The sequence below is a fragment of the Homo sapiens genome, chromosome 2 (assembly GCF_000001405.40).
Source record: "Homo sapiens chromosome 2, GRCh38.p14 Primary Assembly".
NCBI classification, from domain to species: Eukaryota; Metazoa; Chordata; class Mammalia; order Primates; family Hominidae; genus Homo; species Homo sapiens.
In genome coordinates this window covers 132,893,636-132,914,861 of record NC_000002.12, presented here as the reverse complement: position 1 = coordinate 132,914,861, position 21,226 = coordinate 132,893,636, and the positions used below count along the sequence as shown (strand labels likewise).

The 21,226-nt window shown below is 38.7% G+C and overlaps 1 protein-coding gene across 20 annotated transcripts in view; it reads left to right on the top strand.

Annotated features, from left to right (window-relative positions):
* Positions 1-21,226, top strand: part of NCKAP5 (NCK associated protein 5) — a 1,003,049-nt gene that overhangs the window by 759,975 nt on the left and 221,848 nt on the right. The window lies entirely within an intron of this gene.

The window sequence follows — 21,226 nt, the reverse complement described above, 5'->3', positions numbered from 1 at the left end:
CACAAAACACACATATCCAGGGCTATCACACTTCCTCCTGATAGGCTTTTTATCTGATGGCCTTGAGCAGCATTCACGTCTCAGTGACCCATCAGATTTACAAAACTATCTCATTTGTATTGAAATAAAATTATCGGGTGGTGAAATGCACAGGTCTTAAAGTGCTGAGTACCTTCAGTGGTCATAGAATTCAGAAGTCCTTTAACGTTACTGGGGTACAAGATCCCATTCAAGATTCCATTGTGTTCTCAGTTCTCTCCTGGCCCTACCCCCAGCATTTGGGTTTCAGAGAGTCTATATTGCAGTTGTATTTTAAAGGTAGTATTAGTCCATGAGACTATTTGTGAAAGGGGGCCAAAGAGAAAACAGGGCTATCTCAGGAATTGTCCATTTCTACTTAAAAAATAGATCAGTTAAAATTTCCCCAAATTTCCTCTCCTATCTTGCTTATATTTTACACTTCATTATTTTTTTTCTAAAATTTTTATCATAAAAGACTATACAATGAATTATTTTAACATCAAATTGTTACTGTTTTGGAGCATGTGGGAAGGTTTTGTATTAATTTAAAAAGAAACATTTCTATGCCTTTTTTCTTTGCACACGAATTAGGCTTTTTAAATTTTATTATAAAGTTTCTTTTCACAAATATGATTTAGCCTCCTAGATTTTAAGAAACATAATGGACAGCTACTATTCACATAGATGTGCTATTTGAAAGAAATTTGGCTTACTGCTGTTATTCAGTACTGCATTTTTATGTGTAGAAATTGATGTATGCCAAGAAAAAGGCAATTAAGGCTCTTATGCTTATTTTTCAAGGTGGTGCGAGTTTTAACTATATGTTTACTTTAAGAATCTTAAAAGGACCCCTTGGGAAATATTACCAACTGAGCCCATTGGGCTAAACGAAAAAGCAGATTCATTTTCATAAATAAATCTGAATTCCATTATTTTTCAAATTTACTTATAGATTGAAGAAGACGATAAGTATGCTAATAGAGGATAGAGAGAATGGAAAATTATGACAAGAGTTTTCTCCATGCACTTCAATATGAGCCCTGTTCTTTGTGGGTATTTCCAAACATAGATATCTTAAAAATTGAAGTCTTGTTTATTCAAATATTCAAATGTTTATTATGCAAGGTACTGTCTTGCATAATTTGCAAGAGGCATTTTGGTGGGAAGCAAAGCCACAGAACCCAGTCAATACTCTTTATCAGCGTCCACCTCCCAAAGTGATCATTTACATCTATAATGCTAAGAACCAGCCTTATGGAAAAAATTGATTTATAAGTACAAATAAAAATTCAGAAGACAGCTAACATTTATTGAGAGCTAACTAGGTAGCAGGCATATTCTATCAGTTTTCACCTCTTATTTATCCTTCATAAAACCACATTATTGTTCTTCTTGTCTCTAGTCTACATATGAGGGCACCAAGTCACTGAGAGGTTAAGCATCACACCCGAGATCACACAGCTAATAAATAGTATAGTGACCCAGGTTCCATCTGGCTGTAGAATCTCTCTTATCCATGACATGGTGTAAAGATAGTCAGATCTGTGTTTATGTTATTTATTAAAGTCTCTTTATCTTATTTGCAAGCTAGATGTGCATGATTAACATATAACATTTCTGTGTGGACTGACTGTGTTATGTAGGAACTTGGCACATGGTGGATAATCAATAAATAAGAGCTGTCTCAATAAATGATTCAGCTACGATCACCAGGGCATATCATAGCTGAAAGGCCCTGGTGATGGTAGCTGAATAATTTATTGAGACAAATCTTAGGTCCAAGTCTTAAGTATAGGGAAGAGACCGTAGTAGTTTGAGGGCAGCATATTAAATTATTAGGTTATTAAACACTGAGTGCTTTCTAATGTTCTGTAGGGATAACATTCAAATTGAAAGCAAACTGGAAATTTGTGAAGTTGTTGATATAGAAAAAAATTCTATATCATTTCAAAGCACAGATGAGGAGGGATGTGAAATAACACTAGAACCAGACTATACAGGGGGAGGATGATTAATCTCACCTGATTTAAACGGAAGCCTCAATAGAAGAAGTGGCATGGGATTTCGGCTATCGTGTTCCTGCTGAAAGTTTCAGGCTGCTGAAAGCAGAGCATCTGATAAATTCTTGACTTGTCCTGGAAGTATTTTCCCCTCTCTGAAAGCAGAGGAAACAGTGAGGGAGTCGCCTTAATTGTGAACTTAATTCTTAGCCTCTGGAAGGACCTGATTCATGGTTTGGAAGGAAGGAAGGCTTAAAGAAGCAAATCAGCATCAAAGGAACCATAGGAAGCAGGGCAGTTTGTAGATATGTACACACTACTTAATGTTTAGGAAATAAGATATCAGAATGTTCATTGAATGAGCAACTATGATGTCATGGACGGGCTCTGAAAAGAAACATAGTCCACAGAGGGTTGAAGGCTCTGCAGATGAAATCTATCTATATATTCTGAAAAACCCTGATTGACTGTCCAAAGTTTTATTATGGGTTATTTGAATGCATTTTCATACTCATGTACTTGAATAAAATGGTATTATGTACCAAGTCTAGGATAGGATGCATTTCTTCCTCTGGACCATATGATGACTTTTCCCAAAGGGCACTGTGCCACAGAGAGCGAGAGCTTGGCTCACTTCAGGCACAGCAGTCCCTGTATGGTCCTGTTGGAGGTGCCCAAGCCTGCCTCTTTCTCTCACTGCCACATAGTCACCACAGGCCAGCATCTGACTTTGCACAGAAGAGTTTGAGAGCTAGTCCTCTGCTGAGTAGAAAACTATGAGTACTCTTTTCTAACACCACTCTTTCACCAGTTTTCTTTAATGGCTCAGATTGGTAGTTTCTGCAGATATCCCCAGCTCACAGGCTCCTCCAGGCAGACACTGTGGGCGTGCCTCCAACCACCAGCAAGAAGCAGCGACTGGCCAGCTCTCAGGCAGCTTGGAAGGCCTGGGAGGGCCCGCTAATCAACAGTCCTGCAGTTTACCGGAGCCATGGGGGAGTTCAGCAGATGTATGTAATAGGATCCAGGGAATAATAAATCTTTTTCCTTTTTGTGCTGCAGAGAGAATTCTCCGTTACCTCTTTAGGATGGGAACCAGGGCCCTTTCTCTGCTTATGGAGTTCACATAGGAGGGCAAAGGAAAATATGTCCTTCTGTGTGGGAAATGCTTAGAAAACAGTGCCAGCATTTACATGTATATACACACATACAAACACAAAAGAAGACTTTTGAACTGTAGTAGGAAAAAGGGGAGGTCACAGTGAGATATTTAACTAAAATATCACATAGGGAGTTCACCAACAAAATTTGATTTTTAAAGGACTTGGAATTTTGCAGGAAGGAAAGACTATTACCTGATACAAGAGAGGCATAAACTTAAAAGAATAGTATCATAAAATATAAAAGTCAATGATGAACTAAAATTTGCCAAAAAGTCAGAATGTCAACCAAATTTACATTTTTTAAGTGAATTGTAGTGCACTGGAATTGATTTCCTAGCTGGACACTGGCTGAGCTAGAGCATCAGGAAGAGTCTAAAGATTAGATTTTAAGAAAAGAAAATAGAAGCCATGTTTGAAGACCTGCGTTACAAGTGCTTTATCAGTTTGTAAGACGTGAGTCTGAAATGACCAGCAATTTGTTTCTTGAAAGATCCATGAATCATGTGCAGTTACTTGGCTGAGTGGGTCAGGCCCCTATCATGAGACAGGTGGAAGGAAAAACATCCAGTCACAGTATTCTCTAGCAACAAATGAGATGTGGGAATCAGGCAGTGAAGTCTCTCTACCGAATGGGTGGTGTCGGTCAGAAGACAACATGGCACGGAATATCAGTATTCCAGCCAGGCCCAAGAGATGTGGCATCCATTTGCAGAAAACGGCCATGTTGTAAGTAACTAACTGGGCCTATGAGTACTGATGCTTATGAGATAGAATTATACTTCTGAGTTACCAGGCAAAAGAGAAGGCCTAGAATGGATGAGTCTTCTTTGGCCATTGTTTGGTACAGTCTCATTTCCAAATCCAATCCAATCCAAAGCTTATACATATAAGCTTTATAGTTTCTAAAACAGTAATTAAAATATTCTTTTGTATTTAAAGAAAAAAATGAATTGCAATGTAGCATAGTAGTCAATAGCTAAGATTTGGGAGCAAACTAAGTGTTCATCAACACATGAATGGATAAAGAAAATGTGGTACATATATACAATGGAGTACTATTCAGCCATGAAAAAGAATGTGATCCAGTCATTTGCAAAGGCATGCATGGAACTGGAGGTGATTATGTTAAGTGAAATAAGCCAGGCACAGAAAGACAAACATTCCATGTTTTCACTTATTTGTGGGATCTAAAAATTAAAATAATTGAACTCATGAATATAGAGAGTAGAAGGATGGTTACTAGAAGCTGGGAAAGGTAGTTGGGGGCGTGCTCGGGGGAGATGGGGATGGTTAATGGGTGGGTACAGAAAAATAGGAAGAATGTGTAAGAGCTACTATATGATAGCACAAATATTATTGACTATAGTCAATAATAATTGTACATTTTTAAATATTAGATAACTAAAAGAGTATAATTGGATTCTTTGTAACACAAAGGATAAATGCTTGAGGGTATGGGTACCCCATTCTCCATGATGTGATTATTACACATTGCATGCCTGTATCAAAGCATCTCATGTACCCCATAAATACATACACCTACTATATACCCATAAAAATTAGAAATGAAAAAAAATTTAAAATATTATGGTTGCTGGTATCAGAAAACCCTGAGTCTGAATACTGACTCCACGTTTTCACTAGCCGTGCCTCAGGCAAGTTCCTTAACTGCTCTAATTGTAAGCATTGTTGCCTGTAAAATGGGCATAATGACTGCACTTCCATCATAGGTTTACTGTGAATATTAAATAAGATTCTTTAAGCATTTAGCAAGTCCTATCACATAGAGTAAGGACTTTTTAAGAGCTTGCTACTCATATCCCTCCAAGAAGAAAAATCATATGATTTCTCAACCACTTGGAGATTTTGGTTACATGGTGAAAACAGCAGCATTTGCAGCAGCAGGAGCCATAAATGACAAAGCTAGTCACCTCCTGTTTTCCATCTGTAGTTTCTGTAAAGCAAAGTGTTCCTCACATTGGGAAGGATGGAGTAATTATCCCAATGGATGAATCAATGCCCAAGATTGGTGAGGAGTTAGAACACAAGCAGTTAGCTCCTCTGGATGAGTCATCTCCCAGTCAGGAAAATTACATTCCAAGTACTGGATATTATCTCAGAACCATTGTCGATAATCTCTGAGGAAATGGAATATAGAAGATAATACCGTCTTCATTTTGATAAAGGGGAAAATTTGAATACCCTAGCATAAGAAATTTGAGATTGCTGCCTGGGAAATTTCTAAAAAGGAGCAAATGAGAAAGAAAGGCATGATCATTGGATATAGCCTGAGCATACTAAAAATAAGATAGATAGATATAATTTTTTTTTTGAGATGGAGTATTGCTCTGTCACCCAGGCTGGAGTACAGTGGTGCCATCTCAGTTCACAGCAACCTCCACCTCCCAGGTTCAAGCAATTCTCCTGCCTCAGCCTCCTGAGTAGCTGGGATCACAGGCGTGCGCCACCACACGTAGCTAATTTGTGCATTTTTGTAGAGATGAGGTTTCACCATGTTGACCATGCTGGTCTTGAACTCCTGACCTCAAGTGGTCCTCCTGCTTTGGCCTCCCAATGTGCTGGGATTACAGGCATGAGCCACCGCACCTGGCCAGTATTTTCTTTTTTAATCGATTTTTTAAAAACTGCTTACCGTGAGATTGCCATAAGTTGATCACACCAAGATTTCAACAAAACATCTGATTACTTAACTTATGACACTGTTCAGTGAGGATGAAGAAATGTGTGTTGGCTGATCTTTCAGTTGGAAAGATTCGTAATTGTAATCAGCTGCCACAATAAAGACTACGATATTTCAGAATTATGCCATAGGGATCCATGTTTTAGAACTGCATTATTCAGCATAATTTGTCAATAACATGAAGATTATACAGCAGGTTTTTAACATAAAGGTAATCCAAACTGGGAAGGTAGCATAACTGATTTTGTCACAGTCAGAATTCCAGATATTCTTTCATTTCTTAATATCCTGCAACAGTGGACTATAGTAAACAAGATAAAAATTTAACAGTAATAAATGTCACCTCCTGCATTTTTGGCTTAAAAATCAATTTATTAAATCAAGAGGCTTAAAAACAATTAGCATTAAAAGAAAAATCATGGGAGAGTAGTTGAAGATAAGCTTAGTATTAGTCAAGATTATGCTAAAAGCTAAGACAGTCGGAGGATATTCGATAGAAGAATAATATCCTTTTGGAAGACCACAGTTAGTCCTGCCACACTCTACCCCATTCAGACCACATCCTAAAGGATTTGATTCTGGATACTTGCATTTCAAGAGAGAAATTGACTGACCAGAGTGCCTTAGGAAAGAAAGAAAAGAAGAGAAAGAGAAAAGACAACCAAGATGGTGAAGCACCTAAAAACCATGTTGTAGGAAAAGATAGAAATCAGGCCACAGCTACTTAATTTAGGGAAAGAAAAATCAAGATGATGTAATTTAGATGTGTAAATATAAAAAAAAAATGTTTTGTGTAACCCCATAGAGATATATTTAATATAGCTCTTAAAAGCAAAAAGGAGTTAATAAATAAAGGTTACAGAAATGAAAATCTAATCTAAAGAAAGAATTTGTAACTGTTAAAAGTGTCTAGGTATAGGAGGAGTTGCTTATTGTGACTAATAAGCTTTTATAAACAAAAGCATTGACCAAATAAATCTCTGTTGGGTATGAGGCTTTATAAAGAATGATTACATTGTGGGCCAGGCATGGTGGCTCACGCCTGTAATCCCAGCACTTTGGGAGGATGAGGCAGGAGGATCACGAGGTCAGGAGATCGAGACCATCCTGGCTAACATGGTGAAACCCCCTCTCTACTAAAACTACAAAAAATTAGCCGGGCATGGTGGTGGGCGCCTGTAGTCCCAGCTACTCGGGAGGCTGAGGCAGGAGAATGGCGTGAACCCGGGAGACTGAGCTTGCAGTGAGCCAAGATCGTGCCACTGAACTCCAGCCTGGGCAACACAGCGAGACTCCTTCTCAAAAAAAAAGAAAAAAGAATGATTACATTAACTGAGATGTTTATCTAAACACCTCTAAAACGTGTCTTTGAGTGGTAAGAGCCTTGATTATGAGGCAATCATACTGCCTCTTAGTGCACATACAGGTGATGGCTTCAGGCAGGTGACATAGGAAGTATCTTTTCCCACCTACAAAGAGGAAAATGTGGACAGAGTCTCTAAGAGCTAAACTGAGTATCTTAAGATGGGAGTTTATAGCCCTCTGGGCTAAACTTAAAGAGGACTCTAAATTTTTGAGAAGCAGCAGCCCTGAAGACTTTGCTACCCGCGTGATCTTAATCTCTGAAATGCCCAAGTTAGAGCCAGGTGTGTCCTCAAGGTATTTTACCTTTTAGGTAAAGAATCAAACAGGGTTGGAAAAGTCTATATTCAACCTCAAAAATGGCTAACCTTGGTTAGGTGATCATTGTTATGAGTTGAGGATGGACTAAAAGGTTTTCAGTTTCTAGGTATTTGTATTTCCTTATGTTGTTCTAAATATTTTGTCACTATTCATAAGTTAAAAGTAATGTTTAGTAATATAAATAATGTTAGGAAAAGGCTAAATTCCCTATGTTTCTGCTCTTGCATATTTAAAATATTCTTTTGGAATTTCAACAACAATGATTTTGATTATGGTACAAAAGTCACAATCCTTGGATGCAGTGTAAGTTCAGTAAATTTTCTGCAAAACAGTAAATCATTCAAGTAAAACGTGTCAAGAAAGAAAATTCTATTGTAGCCTGAATCCTTTATTCATCATGCAATTTTAAATATTTGGAGAATTGCTGTTTTGACCCCCAAACTCCTGAGGTCCATGACCATCAATTTTCATGTCTTCTTTCTCCATCATCAAATCAGTGCTCCTCTGATCTTTCTTCAACCTCAACTGTAATAAAGAGTTTGACTCCATGTTTTATGTTTGCTGGCAGCTTTGAAGCCTCACCACTATCCCTTTCCATTCTGCTCCACATCTGCTCTGGTTGTCAAGAAAGCCCAGGTACTTTCTTCTTTGGCTCAGGTGGGAAGTTCAAACTAAGCAAGGTTGGGCTCTCTCAAGCTACTTCAGATCTGCTTGGGGGTCTCCCCTAATCTCCCCAGAAGACCTCATTATGGGAGTTATAAGTATTTTCATGCCTTCTTCATGTGCATGTGGTATTATCAGTCTCAATATCCAAAACAAAATTTTGGTTGGGGTGCAAGGTCCATATCACCTCTGCATGGCGATGACAACTCCAAAAATGCCTCTCTCTTTACAGTATAATCTCTCATCTAGAAAATAGCCATCTGCTTCTGTAATTTTGTTGGCACTTTCATTAACAGCTAATTTGTCCCACATCTAGTTAAATTGGAATTCATTCCCTCTAGTCAAGTAGTCTGTGGACAAATTTTTGTAAAATTTCAAGTCTTAGAGAACTCTCTTGCTCTGTTAGCTACTCCAGTAACTATAGTTGGATGGAAAGATACCCAAATCTGGCAAAGAAATCCAAACACCATCTTAGAAAAATAATAGATCAATAGTCTTTCAGTCAATTCCAAACCAGTTTTTGTTTCAAACTCTTGGAAAATTTGAACTAAATGTATAATTTTTAACAGGATAAAGAATAGCTTTATTTGGTAACCAATAGCAATCTCAATAGAAAAATATGCTGGAGCTATTTACTGCAGTCAGGAACAATCACATCAATGATCTGCACACTTAGTTCACATTGTTTTTGGAGTTCTGCTGCGTCCCTTCATATGTGAATCAGAAATAAAACTGGCTATTGAGAAGAAGGAAAAAAATATTTGCAAGTGGCATAGTATATACTATGAACCTGAGAAAATCAATTGGAAGAGCATTAGAACGGATAAAGAGTGCAGTAAGGTGGTCAGGTATGAGTATATAAAAATCAGTAGTTTTCTGTAAATGAGGAATGGTGGCTCAAAAATTATCGGGAAAATTCAGTGTATAAATATAATGAAGGTTATAAAATACTATTTTTAAAATGTGCAAAACCAATTTAAAGAAAACTATAACACTCGTTGTAAGAAATAAGGCAGAATTTAGTAAAGAGACATACCATGTTCCAAGATAGGCAGGCCAAATATTACAAAGCTGATACTTTTTCCCAAAATTTAAGGTTGGATTAAATCTTGACAAGTAGAAAAAATCAGTAGAATTAGAGGAGAGCTATGGGAAGAATTTGAAATGGTTCTATAGTTCATGTAGAACAATAAACAAGCCAAGAAATGTTTCGAAAAGAGAGGACTCACAAATGCTGGCTCGCCATATCATATATTGAAACGATGTGAACTTACAGTAATTAAAACTGTGTGATTACAGTTTTAGATAAGGTGGATCCATAAAACAGAATAAGCCATGCTGCCATAAGTCTTGCAAAATTTAACAGTTTAATAGTTGTAAAGGAGATATTGTATATCAACACAGAAGCAAAACTGATTCTGGAAATGTTCTGGGACAATAATATCACTATTTGGAAAGAAAGAAGATACTTATGTGACAGCATAACATAAATCCTATGTGGATTAAAGAGATAAATGTACCAAAAAAAAGATAATTGAAACATTATTAAGCTTGAGGAAAACAAAAGTGGCTATTTAAGTTTGCTCGGGTGGGAAAAGGACTTTTTGATTACAAAATCAATGAAGGAAATCACAAAGGAAAAAGAAGATTGATTTGACTTTATAAACATTTAAATGCTATGAACATAAAAATATCAGAAATATCAGAAACAACATTAAAGGACAAACAGAAAACATCAGAACTAGATTTTTTCTATCCTCATTATGAAGATTTAGTATAAACTCATAACAGGAACATTGTGACAGGAAGCTTGGCAAAGGGTATGAAGAGACAATCCACAGATTAGAAAATACCATTAGCTAATTAACACAAGGGAAAATTTTAGCCTCACATGAGACCAAGGCAATAAAAAGTGAAATAAGAAAAGAGGATATTTTGTGTACAAAATTGGCAAAATGTTTAGATGGTACTAATCAGTGGGCGGTGATTCTCACGTATGCTCCTGGGGAAGTGAAATTTGATATAGCCTTTCCAGAAAGCAAAGTAATCCTATGTACTAGAAGTCCCTGAGAAAGTTCTAGGGCTTTCATCCAGTAGTTGTAACTGCAGGGCTCTATCTTTCAAAATACTCCATGATGTAAAATGAGATTTATGTTTAAGCATAATCCTTGCAGCAAACATGAGAAATGGTTAAATAACGTATAGTATGGTCCCATAATACAATCTTGTGCATGCATTATGTTATCGAATATATTTTTTAATTTTTATTTAATTTTTATTTATTTATTTATTTTTATTTAATTATTTTTATTTATTATTTATTTAATTTTTATTTATTTATTTTTGAGACAGTCTCACTCTGTTGCCCAGGCTGGAGTGCAGTGGCGCCATCTCAGCTCACTGCAAGCTCCGCCTCCCATGTTCATGCCATTCTCTTGCCTCAGCCTCCCAAGTAGCTGGGACTACAAGCACTCGCCACCATGCCTGGCTAATTTTTTGTATTTTTAGTAGAGATGGGGTTTCACTGCATTAGCCAAGATGGTCTCGATCTCCTGACCTCAGGATCCGCCTGCCTCAGCCTCCCAAAGTGCTGGGATTACAGGCGTGAGCCACCGCGCCGGGCCATTATCAAATATTTTTAATGGTGTGGGGAAATATTTACTCTATGTCACAAGAAAAAGAATTATCACCCAATACATAAATTGTAATATACAATGTATATTTTATACCCCTGAAAAGCTACATTATAACATTAATGGTAATTACGTGTGGGTTGCATAAGTTTGAACAATATTTGCTTTCATCATAGTTTGTGTATTTTTCAAGTTTCTCCTAATAAACTCTTACTAGTTTTGAACCAGAAAAAATAAGAACTTCCTCCCAAGTAGTCTACCTTGCCTAATCTGTTTCTTACTCTCAAAACCCTCCAAAAGATAGACATTATTTGCTTATCTGAATGTACATATACCACACATTCTGTTTCCCCTGTGACATGAAAATAATAGATGTCTGATGTATTTACCTGACAAGGATATTGTGAGGATAAATTGAGATAAACATGAAAGCATGATTTAGAAGGAAAGGAAGTGATACAAATATGAGTTGAGGTCTGTCAACATACATTTGTCACATCAACACATTAAATAATTTTCAGTGACTATCAGACACGGGCCTGTGCCTCAGATTAAATGATAATGCTTATTAAAAACTAGTTAATAAAGTTAAAACTATGTAAGTCACCCTCTAAAATAGTACTATCCAATAGAACTTTCTGCAGTGTTGGAAATGTTCTCTATCTGTGCTGTCCAGCATGGTAGCCATTTAACCAAAATGGTAGCCATTTAGCCAAACAAGGCTATTGATCATTTGAAATGTGTCTGGTGGGACTGAGGAACTGCATTTTTGGTTTAAATTAATGTTAGTTAATTTATGAGTAGCCCATGTGGCAAGGGGGGTGGGAGCTGCAGCTCTACAAGGTGGCATCACTTTAGACTAGGCATCTTCTTCAGTGCTCTCCATGCATTATCCCATGTGACCCTCACAACAACCTGTGATCCAGGTACTGTTTTTACTCTCATTTTATAGATTGGGAAACTGAATGGTAAAGAGGCAAGTGACCCAGGGTGAGGGTGTCGATAAGCTGTGGAATCAGAATTCACACCTACATAAGTGGATGCCAAAGCCACCTCTCCTATCAGTTACTCTGCACTGCCTCCTACATGACACAGGACTGGGCATGTGGCAGTCACATCTGGCGGAAGTGACAAACTACATAGGAAGTCAGTAATATTATGGGGATGAGCAAGAGGAAAACTGTGTTGTTCATCCTTTGTGAATCCCTGTGCATCTAATGTGTTAAGTCCCCTTCACATGATGAATTCCCCATCAATGTCCACCAGCCATGAGAGCAGCTTCTTGGTAAGACATCACAAAGAGGCCTCACGGCGATTCTTTTGTTAAGTTGCTGACTTTCTCTTCAATCAAGCCTTTTATGCTGAAAACTATCTTACAGCCAAGATTCCAGACTGCACACAAGTGAGAAGGCAAATTTGCTAAGTACATTTGAAATACCTGGGCAGCTTTTAATGTACTCTACAGGATGTGACAAACGAGTATCTGTGTAAATCAATAAACCCTTCTGTGAAAGGACTAATGGTTTTATGTGAATAGCAAGGCAACACACGTGGAAACCAGTACTCTTGTTTCCTGTCAGTATTTTTAAAGTTCACTGTCATAACTCTGTTCCCCTTGACCTTTATCAGTGATACCTACCAGAGATTTGTGTTGCTAGTTGAGTTTTAACTGGACACCTCAGCTATCAACCGTCTTTCCCTTTTCCCTTGGTGTCTGATAAATGCCTTCTTTACACCTTCTGCTGTCCTGGATTTCTCATTTTTTAACTATGCTGTGATTGTTCTTTGAATAATAATTGACTTTCTCAGATTTAAGAATACTTCATTCCAGTACAGACAAATGGAGATTAAATACAGATTTCTCTTTACTTTGGTGCTGTAAAATCGGGTTTATTATCATGGTGATTCACAGTAATAATTGCTTCTGTATATGAATATTGATAAGTGGAAAAACCAATATGCACAGAAATTCAGGAATCTTCAAATGCTGTGAAACTAGTAGCACAAAAGCTAATAGAAAATGAGAACCTTTGGTTTTCAAAAGCAAAATGCATGTCAACTAGAAGTTTGAATAAGTCTTATCTGTGCCCTCAAACACACAAAGATGATGTAATATGATTAGGGATGAAAACATGTACTGTACTAGCATTTGCAAATTGGAACCAGACCCTTCTAAGTTCCTGGTGTATCTTTACATGCAATTAATGCACAGTGCAACACTGCCTTTTGCTCTTTTAAATAAATTCTTTCTATAGTCCTATCTTGATAATCCCCCAAAATCTTCATCTTTAAAAGTTAACAATTCTAGGACATTAAAATATGAAGAGCTATTTTTAAGGGATTTTAAGTATTTTTTCATACTGACACAAATATATTCTGTTGACACAATCTTATTTTATTTACAGCATTGTTTACTTAATGCGTTTCCACCCATGGGTGAAACGTTTAATCAGGTTGCATTGTGGGTATTATTTTGCTAATTAGCATCCAAATGTGGGACCAGCTTCTATAAAGTTCAACCTTAAAGTGAGCAGTGTCTCCTCGGGTTTAAAAAGACAATTCCAATTCTATGGAGTGGTAACCACGATCACACTAGAGCAGTTGTCTGATTAATTACAGTGGTGTGAATTTGGTCATGTTTTCAAGATGATGTTCCCTCCAGAGCAATTGACTAGATAATTGTGTTCTTGCTACCACAAAACCTAAGTGGAACTCAGCAGATGTGAGTTCTGAGCCTGGAGCTGACTCAACCTGTCACCACTTACCTGAACAAAGGGAATATGCTCTGCAAAGTTTGTCTCTCCCAATAATTGGGCACAGATTCTACCACTTTGAGGAATAAAATTGATTCACTTAATACCAAATCTGTCAGAACAAGTGATCGAAACAATCAGTGTAATGGGTAGAAGGGCAGAAAAGCAAAAAGTAGAGATGTAACTTTCTTGTTTGTAAAATAGACTCTGGGTTGAGTGAAGTTGAGATCTCTTCCAGTTCTGGTGTTCTTTTTTTTTTTTTTTTTTCTTTTTTTTTTTGAGACAGAGTCTTGCTCTGTCACCCGGTCTGGAGTGCAGTGACATGATCTCAGCTCGCTGCAGCCTCCACCTCCACCTCCTGGGTTCACGCGATTCTCCTGACTCAGCCTCCCAAGTAGCTGGGATTACAGGTGCCTGCCACCATGCCTGGCTAATTTTTGTATTTTTAGTAGAGAGGAGGTTTCACATGTTGGCCAGGCTGGTCTCAATCTGGTGTTCTTGTGTCTAATAACAAAAGATAAATTACAGTCACTGGGTAAGAGTCATTATTTACATTTCTGGGCTACAGTCTGTTAATAACAGTAGTTTTCATAACAGTTTTCATACTCTATAAAATTATGTGGTTGGACTTGATACCTCAAACCCTTCTAATTCTAAAAATGTAGAAAATTTATTCATGAAGTTGAAAGTGCCATGCCAGTATAGATCTGATGTCATTGATGTATGTGTGTATATATGAATATGTACAATAATTCATATGTGTATGTGTGTGTTTGTGTGTGTGTGGTTGTATGTGTATCTCTCACACAGGACATTTAGCCATGTCTAGAGACATCTTTATTATCAAAACTAGGTGAAGGGGATGCTACTAGTACAGGCATAACCTCATTTTACTGTGCTTTGTGAATATTGCATTTTTTTCACAGGTTGAGGGTTTGCGGCAACCCTGCATAGAGCAAGTCTGTTGGTACCATTTTTCCAATAGCATGTGCTCACTTTGTGTCTCCTTTTCACATTTTTATAATCTCACAAGATTTTAAACATTTTCATTATTATTACAGCTGTTATGGTAATCTGTGATCAGTGTTCTTTGATGTGACATACTTAATTGTTTTGGGGCACCATGAAGCACACCTATATAAGGTGCACATGGTACCTGTTGCATGTGTTCTGAGTGCACCACCAACTGGCCTTTCTGCTGTCTCCTTTGCTCTCCTTGGGCCATGTATTTCCTGAGACACAACAGTAATGAAATTGGGCCAATTATTCAACCTACACTGCTTGTAAGTATTCAAGTAAAAGGAAGAGGAACATGTCTCTCACTTAATTTTTTTTTCATTGTTTGTTTGTTTTTGTTTGTTTGTTTGTTTGAGATGGAGTCTCACTTTTTCACCCAGGCTGGAATGTAGTGGCTCAATCCCAGCTCACTGCAGCCTCCATCTCCTGGGTTCAAGCGATTCTCATGCCTCAGGCTCCCGAGTAGCTGGGATTACAGGTGTGTGACACCACAATGCTTAATTTTTTGTATTTTTAGTAGAGATGGTGTTTTACCATGTTGGTCAGGCTGGTCTCGAATTCATGACCTCCAGTGATCTGCCCGCTTCGGCCTTCCAAAGTGCTGAGATTATAGGCATGAGCCACTGTGCTCGGCCCATGTCTTTCACTTTAAATCAAAAGCTAGAAATGATTAAGCTTAGTGAGGAAGACATGTCAAAAGCCAAGACAGGCTGAAAGCCGGGCCTCATGCCCCAAACAGCCAAGTTGTGAGTACAAAGGAATAGTTGTTGAAGGAATTTAACAGTGGTACTCCAGTGAATGCATGAATGATGAGAAAGCAAAACAGCCTTATGGCTATTATGGAGAAAGTTTCAGTGGCCTGGATAGAAGACTAAACCAGCCACGACATTCCCTTAAGCCAAAACCTAATCCAGAGCAAGGTACTAACTCTTCAATTCTATGAAGGCTGAGAGAGGTTAGGAAGTTGCAGAAGAAAAGTCTGAAGCTAGTAGAGGGTAGTTCATGAGGTTTAGGGAAAGAAGGTGTCACCATAACATGAAAGTGCAAGGTGAAACAACCACTGCTTCATGTAAAGATGTAAAGCTGCAACAAGTTATTTAGAAGATCTAGTTCAAATAATGGATGAAAGCTACTACACTAAACAACAGATTTTTTGATGTAGGGGTCAATCTTATATTGGAAGAAGAGGCCATCTAGGATTTTCATAGCTAGAGAGGAGAAGTCAATGCCCGCCATCAAAGCTTTAAAGGACAGGCTGACTCTCTTGTTAGGCACTAATGCAGCTGGTGACTTTAAGTTGAAGCCAATGCTCATATACCATTTGAAAAATCCTATGGCCCTTAACAATTATGCTAAACATACTCTGCCTGTCCTCTGTAAATGGTACAACCAAGTCTGGGTGACAACATATGTGTTTACAGCATGGTTCACAGAATATTTTACTAATAAGTCTACTTTTGAGAGTCTACTCCTCAGAAGAAAATATCCCTTTCCAAATATTACTACTCATAAACTATGTACCTTGCCATCCAAGAGCTCTGAAGTATCTGGGGTAGATGTGCAAAAAGATTAATGTTGTTTTCATGCCTGCTAACACAACATTCATTCTGCAGCTCATGGATCAACAAGGAATTTTGATTTTCAAGTCTTATATTTAAGTAGTGACATTTTATAAGGCTATTTCTGGCAGAGAGAGTGATTCCTCTGATGGATCTGGGGAAAATAAATTGAAACCCTTGTGGAAAGGATCACAATTCTAGATGCCATTAAGAACATTTGTGATTCATGGGAAAAGGTCAAAATATAAACATTAACGGGAGTTTGGAAGAATTTGATTCCAACCCCAATGGATAACTTTTAAGGGGTCAAGCCTTTAGTGGAGGAAGTAATTACAGATGTGGCAGAAATGGCAAGAGAGTTAGAATTAGAAGCAGAGCTTGAGGATGTGACTGAATTGCTCCAACCTGGTAAAACTTGAACAGATGAGTTGCTTCTTATGGATGAGCAAAGAAAGTCATTTCTTGAGATGAAATCTGCTCCTGGTGAAGAGTCTGTGAACACTGTTGAAATGACAACGAAGATTTCAGCATATTACATAAACTTAGTTGATAAAGCATTGGCAGGGTTTGAGAAGACTGACTCCAATTCTGGAAGAAGTTCCACTGTAGGTAAAATGCTATCAAACAGCATTGCTTGCTATAGAAAAATGTTCTGTGAAAGGAAGAGTCAATTGATGCTGCAACCTTTATTGTTGTCTTGTTTTAAGGAATTACGATAGCCACCCCAGCCGTAAGTAGCTACCACCCTAGTCAGTCAGCAGCCATCAACATGGAGACAAAACCCTCCACTAGCAAAAAGATTCCAGCATGCTGAAGGCTCAGATAATCGTTAGCATTTTTTAGCAATGCACTATTTTTGAATTATGGTGTGTACATTATTTTCTGGACATAAGGCTGTTGCATACTTAATATACTATAGTGTAGTAGTGTAATATAAACATAACTTTTACATGCACTGGGAAACTAAAAAATTCGTGTGACTTGCTTGATTCTGACATTTGCTTTATTGCGGTGATCTGGAATCCATGATCAAACTCATGATGTCTCTCCCCAAGGTATGTCTGTAGATAGTGGGTAGAGGCCAGGGATGCTGCCAGACATTCTACAGTTTACAGGACAACCCCTCAAAATAAAGAACTATCTGACCTAAAATGTCAATAGTGCTGCGGTTGAGAAACTCTGATTCGTATGTATATATAGGTATGTTAAATACACTCAAGTACTGCATACACACTCTAGCATTATATAGAGAGCTTCTTTGTATATAATTTATTCTAACAAGATCAACAAGACACTGTTTTCCCAGCCATCTGTTGAGACATAGAAATAAGCTTTGCTGTTCCCAGCCTGACATTTCATCCATGTTTGTCTTAATGAGACTTCATTCTGGCTTTGTTATGCTTCTCTCTGCTCAACAGATTGCATCAAAGTCTGGTTTAGAGAATAAGGCCAGCCATGCTCTGAGGGTTTTAGTGGAGGTTTGCTGACCCTCTCATGGAATCAAGGAAAGGAAGAAGTGAGCACCATATATTTCACAATTTTATAAAATGGATTATTCTACTATGAAGACAGTTAAAATTTCATCCTCTGTCACCTCAAACTATGATTCCATGATTATTTATCTCTGGATAATTACTATATAAATTCATACTGTCTGAGATTTTATGGCTGCAAAAGACTTTGGAGATGATGTGGTCTAGTAAGATTATGAAGGGAAAAAAATAAAGCTAAGAGGAGTTCAGTGTCTCGATCAATGTCACATAGTAATTAAATGCAAGAGCTTGAAACCGTGTGTTCCTAGCCATTCTCTCTGCCACATCATGCTGCTGGACAGTGTTTCTAAAATGCCAGACTACAACTAAAAAGCCAGGTCTCTGGATAACACATTCTTTTTATACTTAAAAGATTCTCTATGAGACATCATCTAGGTATAAAATACCTCCTTGGTAGCATCACTGGAGAAGTACACAGTATGCACAATGATTCAATATTCTCTTGGTAAAATGATATGTAATTCAAACAGAAAAATCTTTTAATAAAATTGGTGGCTGCCAGCTTCTCAGTCTACATGTCTATTATTGCACCTGAGCTGAGCTGTAAACTGAGGTGTTTATTCTTCCTTTATCCAGCCCTCGATAAGAAACTACATTTCAGTTCCCCTCAACCCTTATCACCTCAGGGTCCTAACTGCTTAGAAATATCTACCAACTCCTACCCACTCACTTACACAAAGAAACGGAGGAAATTTTAAAAGCTAGAAGGAGAGGAACAAGGGTGGTGTATGAATCTGTTAGTGCTCTTCGTTTTCCACGATTTTCAAAGCAAACGTTGCTGCTTGCCAGTTCTCTACAGAGAAACCAAACATCATCCACCCACTTTTAGTTCTTGAACTTGCAAACAGGAAATGTGGTTTCTAGAATGGGATTCATTTTCACGTAATTTCATTATGACAAAACAATTGAAAGTTCAGAACGCTGAGAAGTTTACTGTGTTTTGTTTTTGTTTTTTTGTTTTTGTTTGTTTGCTTGTTTTTGAGACAGAGTCTCACTCTTGTCACCCAGGCTGGAGGGCAGTGGCGTGATCTTGGCTCACTGCAACCTCCACCTCCTGGGTTCAAGCGATACTCCTGCCTCAGCCTCCTGAGTAGCTGGGGTTACAGGTGCTTCCCACCACGCCCAGCTAATTTTTGTACTTTTAGTAGAGACGGAGTTTTGCCATGTTGGCCAGGCTGGTCTCAAACTCCTGACCTCAGGTGATCTGCCCACCTCGGCCTTACAAAGTGCTGGGATTACAGGCATGGGCCACTGCGCCTGGCCTACTGTGTTTTTTTTTTTGTTTTTTTTTTTTTTTTTGAGTCCTTCTCATTCAGTTAGCTCTGTGTGGCCTGAAGAAAGCCACTCAACCACTCTGAGCCTCAGACTGCACATCTGTAAAATGGGGCTAGCAACAGATGTCTCTTTTGTAGTGTTGCTAGAATTACTTGTGATAAAGTTTGTTGAGGGCTAAGCACAGAGTGTAGCACATAGTAATCATCAGCACCTGTTGACTGTCATTGTCATCATCATCATCATTTTCTGTAGCTTCCATGTTCTTCTCTGTCACAGCCACAGCAATGACTCCAGCCCTGGCTTCTTAAACTAGACCTACATTTCCAGCTTCTGGCTAGATGTCTTCCAGATGTTGCTCTCATGCTGCATATATACAAAACTGAACTAATAATTGTTTCTGCAAAGAATGATGATTTTGAGAACTGCTACAAATCAAAGGTAACTTCTCTCTCATGGCCAGATCTTATTTTGATTTTTTTTTTTTTTTTTTTTTTGAGACAGAGTCTCAGACAAAGTCTCAAAGACTCCAGTCTCCAGGCTGGAGTGCAGTGACGCGATCTCGGCTCACCGCAAACTCCGCCTCCCGGGTTCACGCTATTCTCCTGCCTCAGCCTCCAGAGTAGCTGGGACTACAGGCGCCCGCCACCACGCCCGGCTAATTTTTTGTATTTTTAGTAGAGACGGGGTTTCACCGTGTTAGCCAGGAAGGTCTCCATCTCCTGACCTTGTGATCCGCCCGCCTTGGCCTCCCAAAGTGCTGGGATTACAGATGTGAGCCACTGCGCCCGGCCCTTATTTCGATTTTTTAGGCAAAGTAAGGACACTCCAGATGACAAAAACAAGTCAAAGGGTTTCCCAAGTCCTTATGTTCCCTCTCAGATGCTGGCAATGCCCAAGCTAAATTCCACTTAGACACTGCTTTACCCCTACTGCACCCTGTCCTCCTGTCCTCGCAGAACGGCAGGAGGCTGCGAGCCTCCTGGTGCTCCTGAGCCACTGCTGCTCACCCACTCATGCTGGAGGCAGAAGAAATTGGGGAGCAGGGCGGAGGGCGGCCCTCTGTCACCCTGCTACTGTCCATCTGCACCACTAGCTGCAAGGCCAGGGGTCCTGAGTGGGAAGGCCAGAGCTCATGCCTGATGATCAAATTAAATGATTAATATATAATCTCCCTAAAGTTTAATCCTGTGGTTTCTGAAGCAAAGGGACAATATTCATCCTTGAGAGAACAAGGAGAGTTAGAGTGAGCAGTCAGCATCCCTGAACAAAATAATTTCATACAAACATGCAAACAATGGAAAGAAAGGGGAGAGAGGTCGCTGTGACTGCTGGCATACCTTAAGAACTAGAGTCATACATTCACTGCAATTTTTTCTTCCCTGTAGGAAAAGAAAAAAAAGTCATTACATGGCAAGGCAATAGGTTTTTTTCTAAAAATCTCCCATGGCACTTTATCTCACTTTGTTACCCATTTCTATTAAAGACCTTATCGCCCTGGCGGAGACCCAGAATATAAAACTCAGTGTCGTCTTTGGCTCTCCTTCTCATCTAGGTACTGGTTAGGAGCTGATGAATCTGTACTGAATTCTTTCTCAAATGTAGGTCTTCCTCGCCTCAGTGCCGCTGTTTTATTTCAGGAGTAGGTCATCCTTGAAAGGAATGCTACAATAGCATGCTTTGGATCTCCCCATCTTCCCCTTCCATCGCTCTTTGTTGCTGGTGCCAGGATTCCTTCCTTAAAATATACATTTGGTCCCGTCCCTTTGCCTCAGCAACTGGCTCCATCCGCCTCAGTGTCTTCCCTCTCTCATCTCATGGGCTGTCCACCTGCTGGGCCCATTACAGTGGCAGCGGGATGCCCGGGTACACCAGGGCCCTTCCACAATTTTCCTTCAGGCCCTCTCCTAGGGCTCTGTTACTTATTAGAGTGTGTACATTTGTGTGTATGTGTGTGTGTGTGAAATATGTTTACAGAAGACTGCACATTTGTATGCCCAAAAATGTATATTTATAATTAAAAAATAATGAAGCAAAACATTGAGTACCTGCCACCAGGTCCACAAATGAAACATTGCTAGTAGCCTAGGGCACCCCATGGGCTCCTGTCTTATCACAGTTTCCTTTCTCCCCACTAGTGGTAATGATGAATCTGACTTCTGTAATAATAATTTGCTTGCTTTTTGAAAGAATATGGTTTACCTCCTA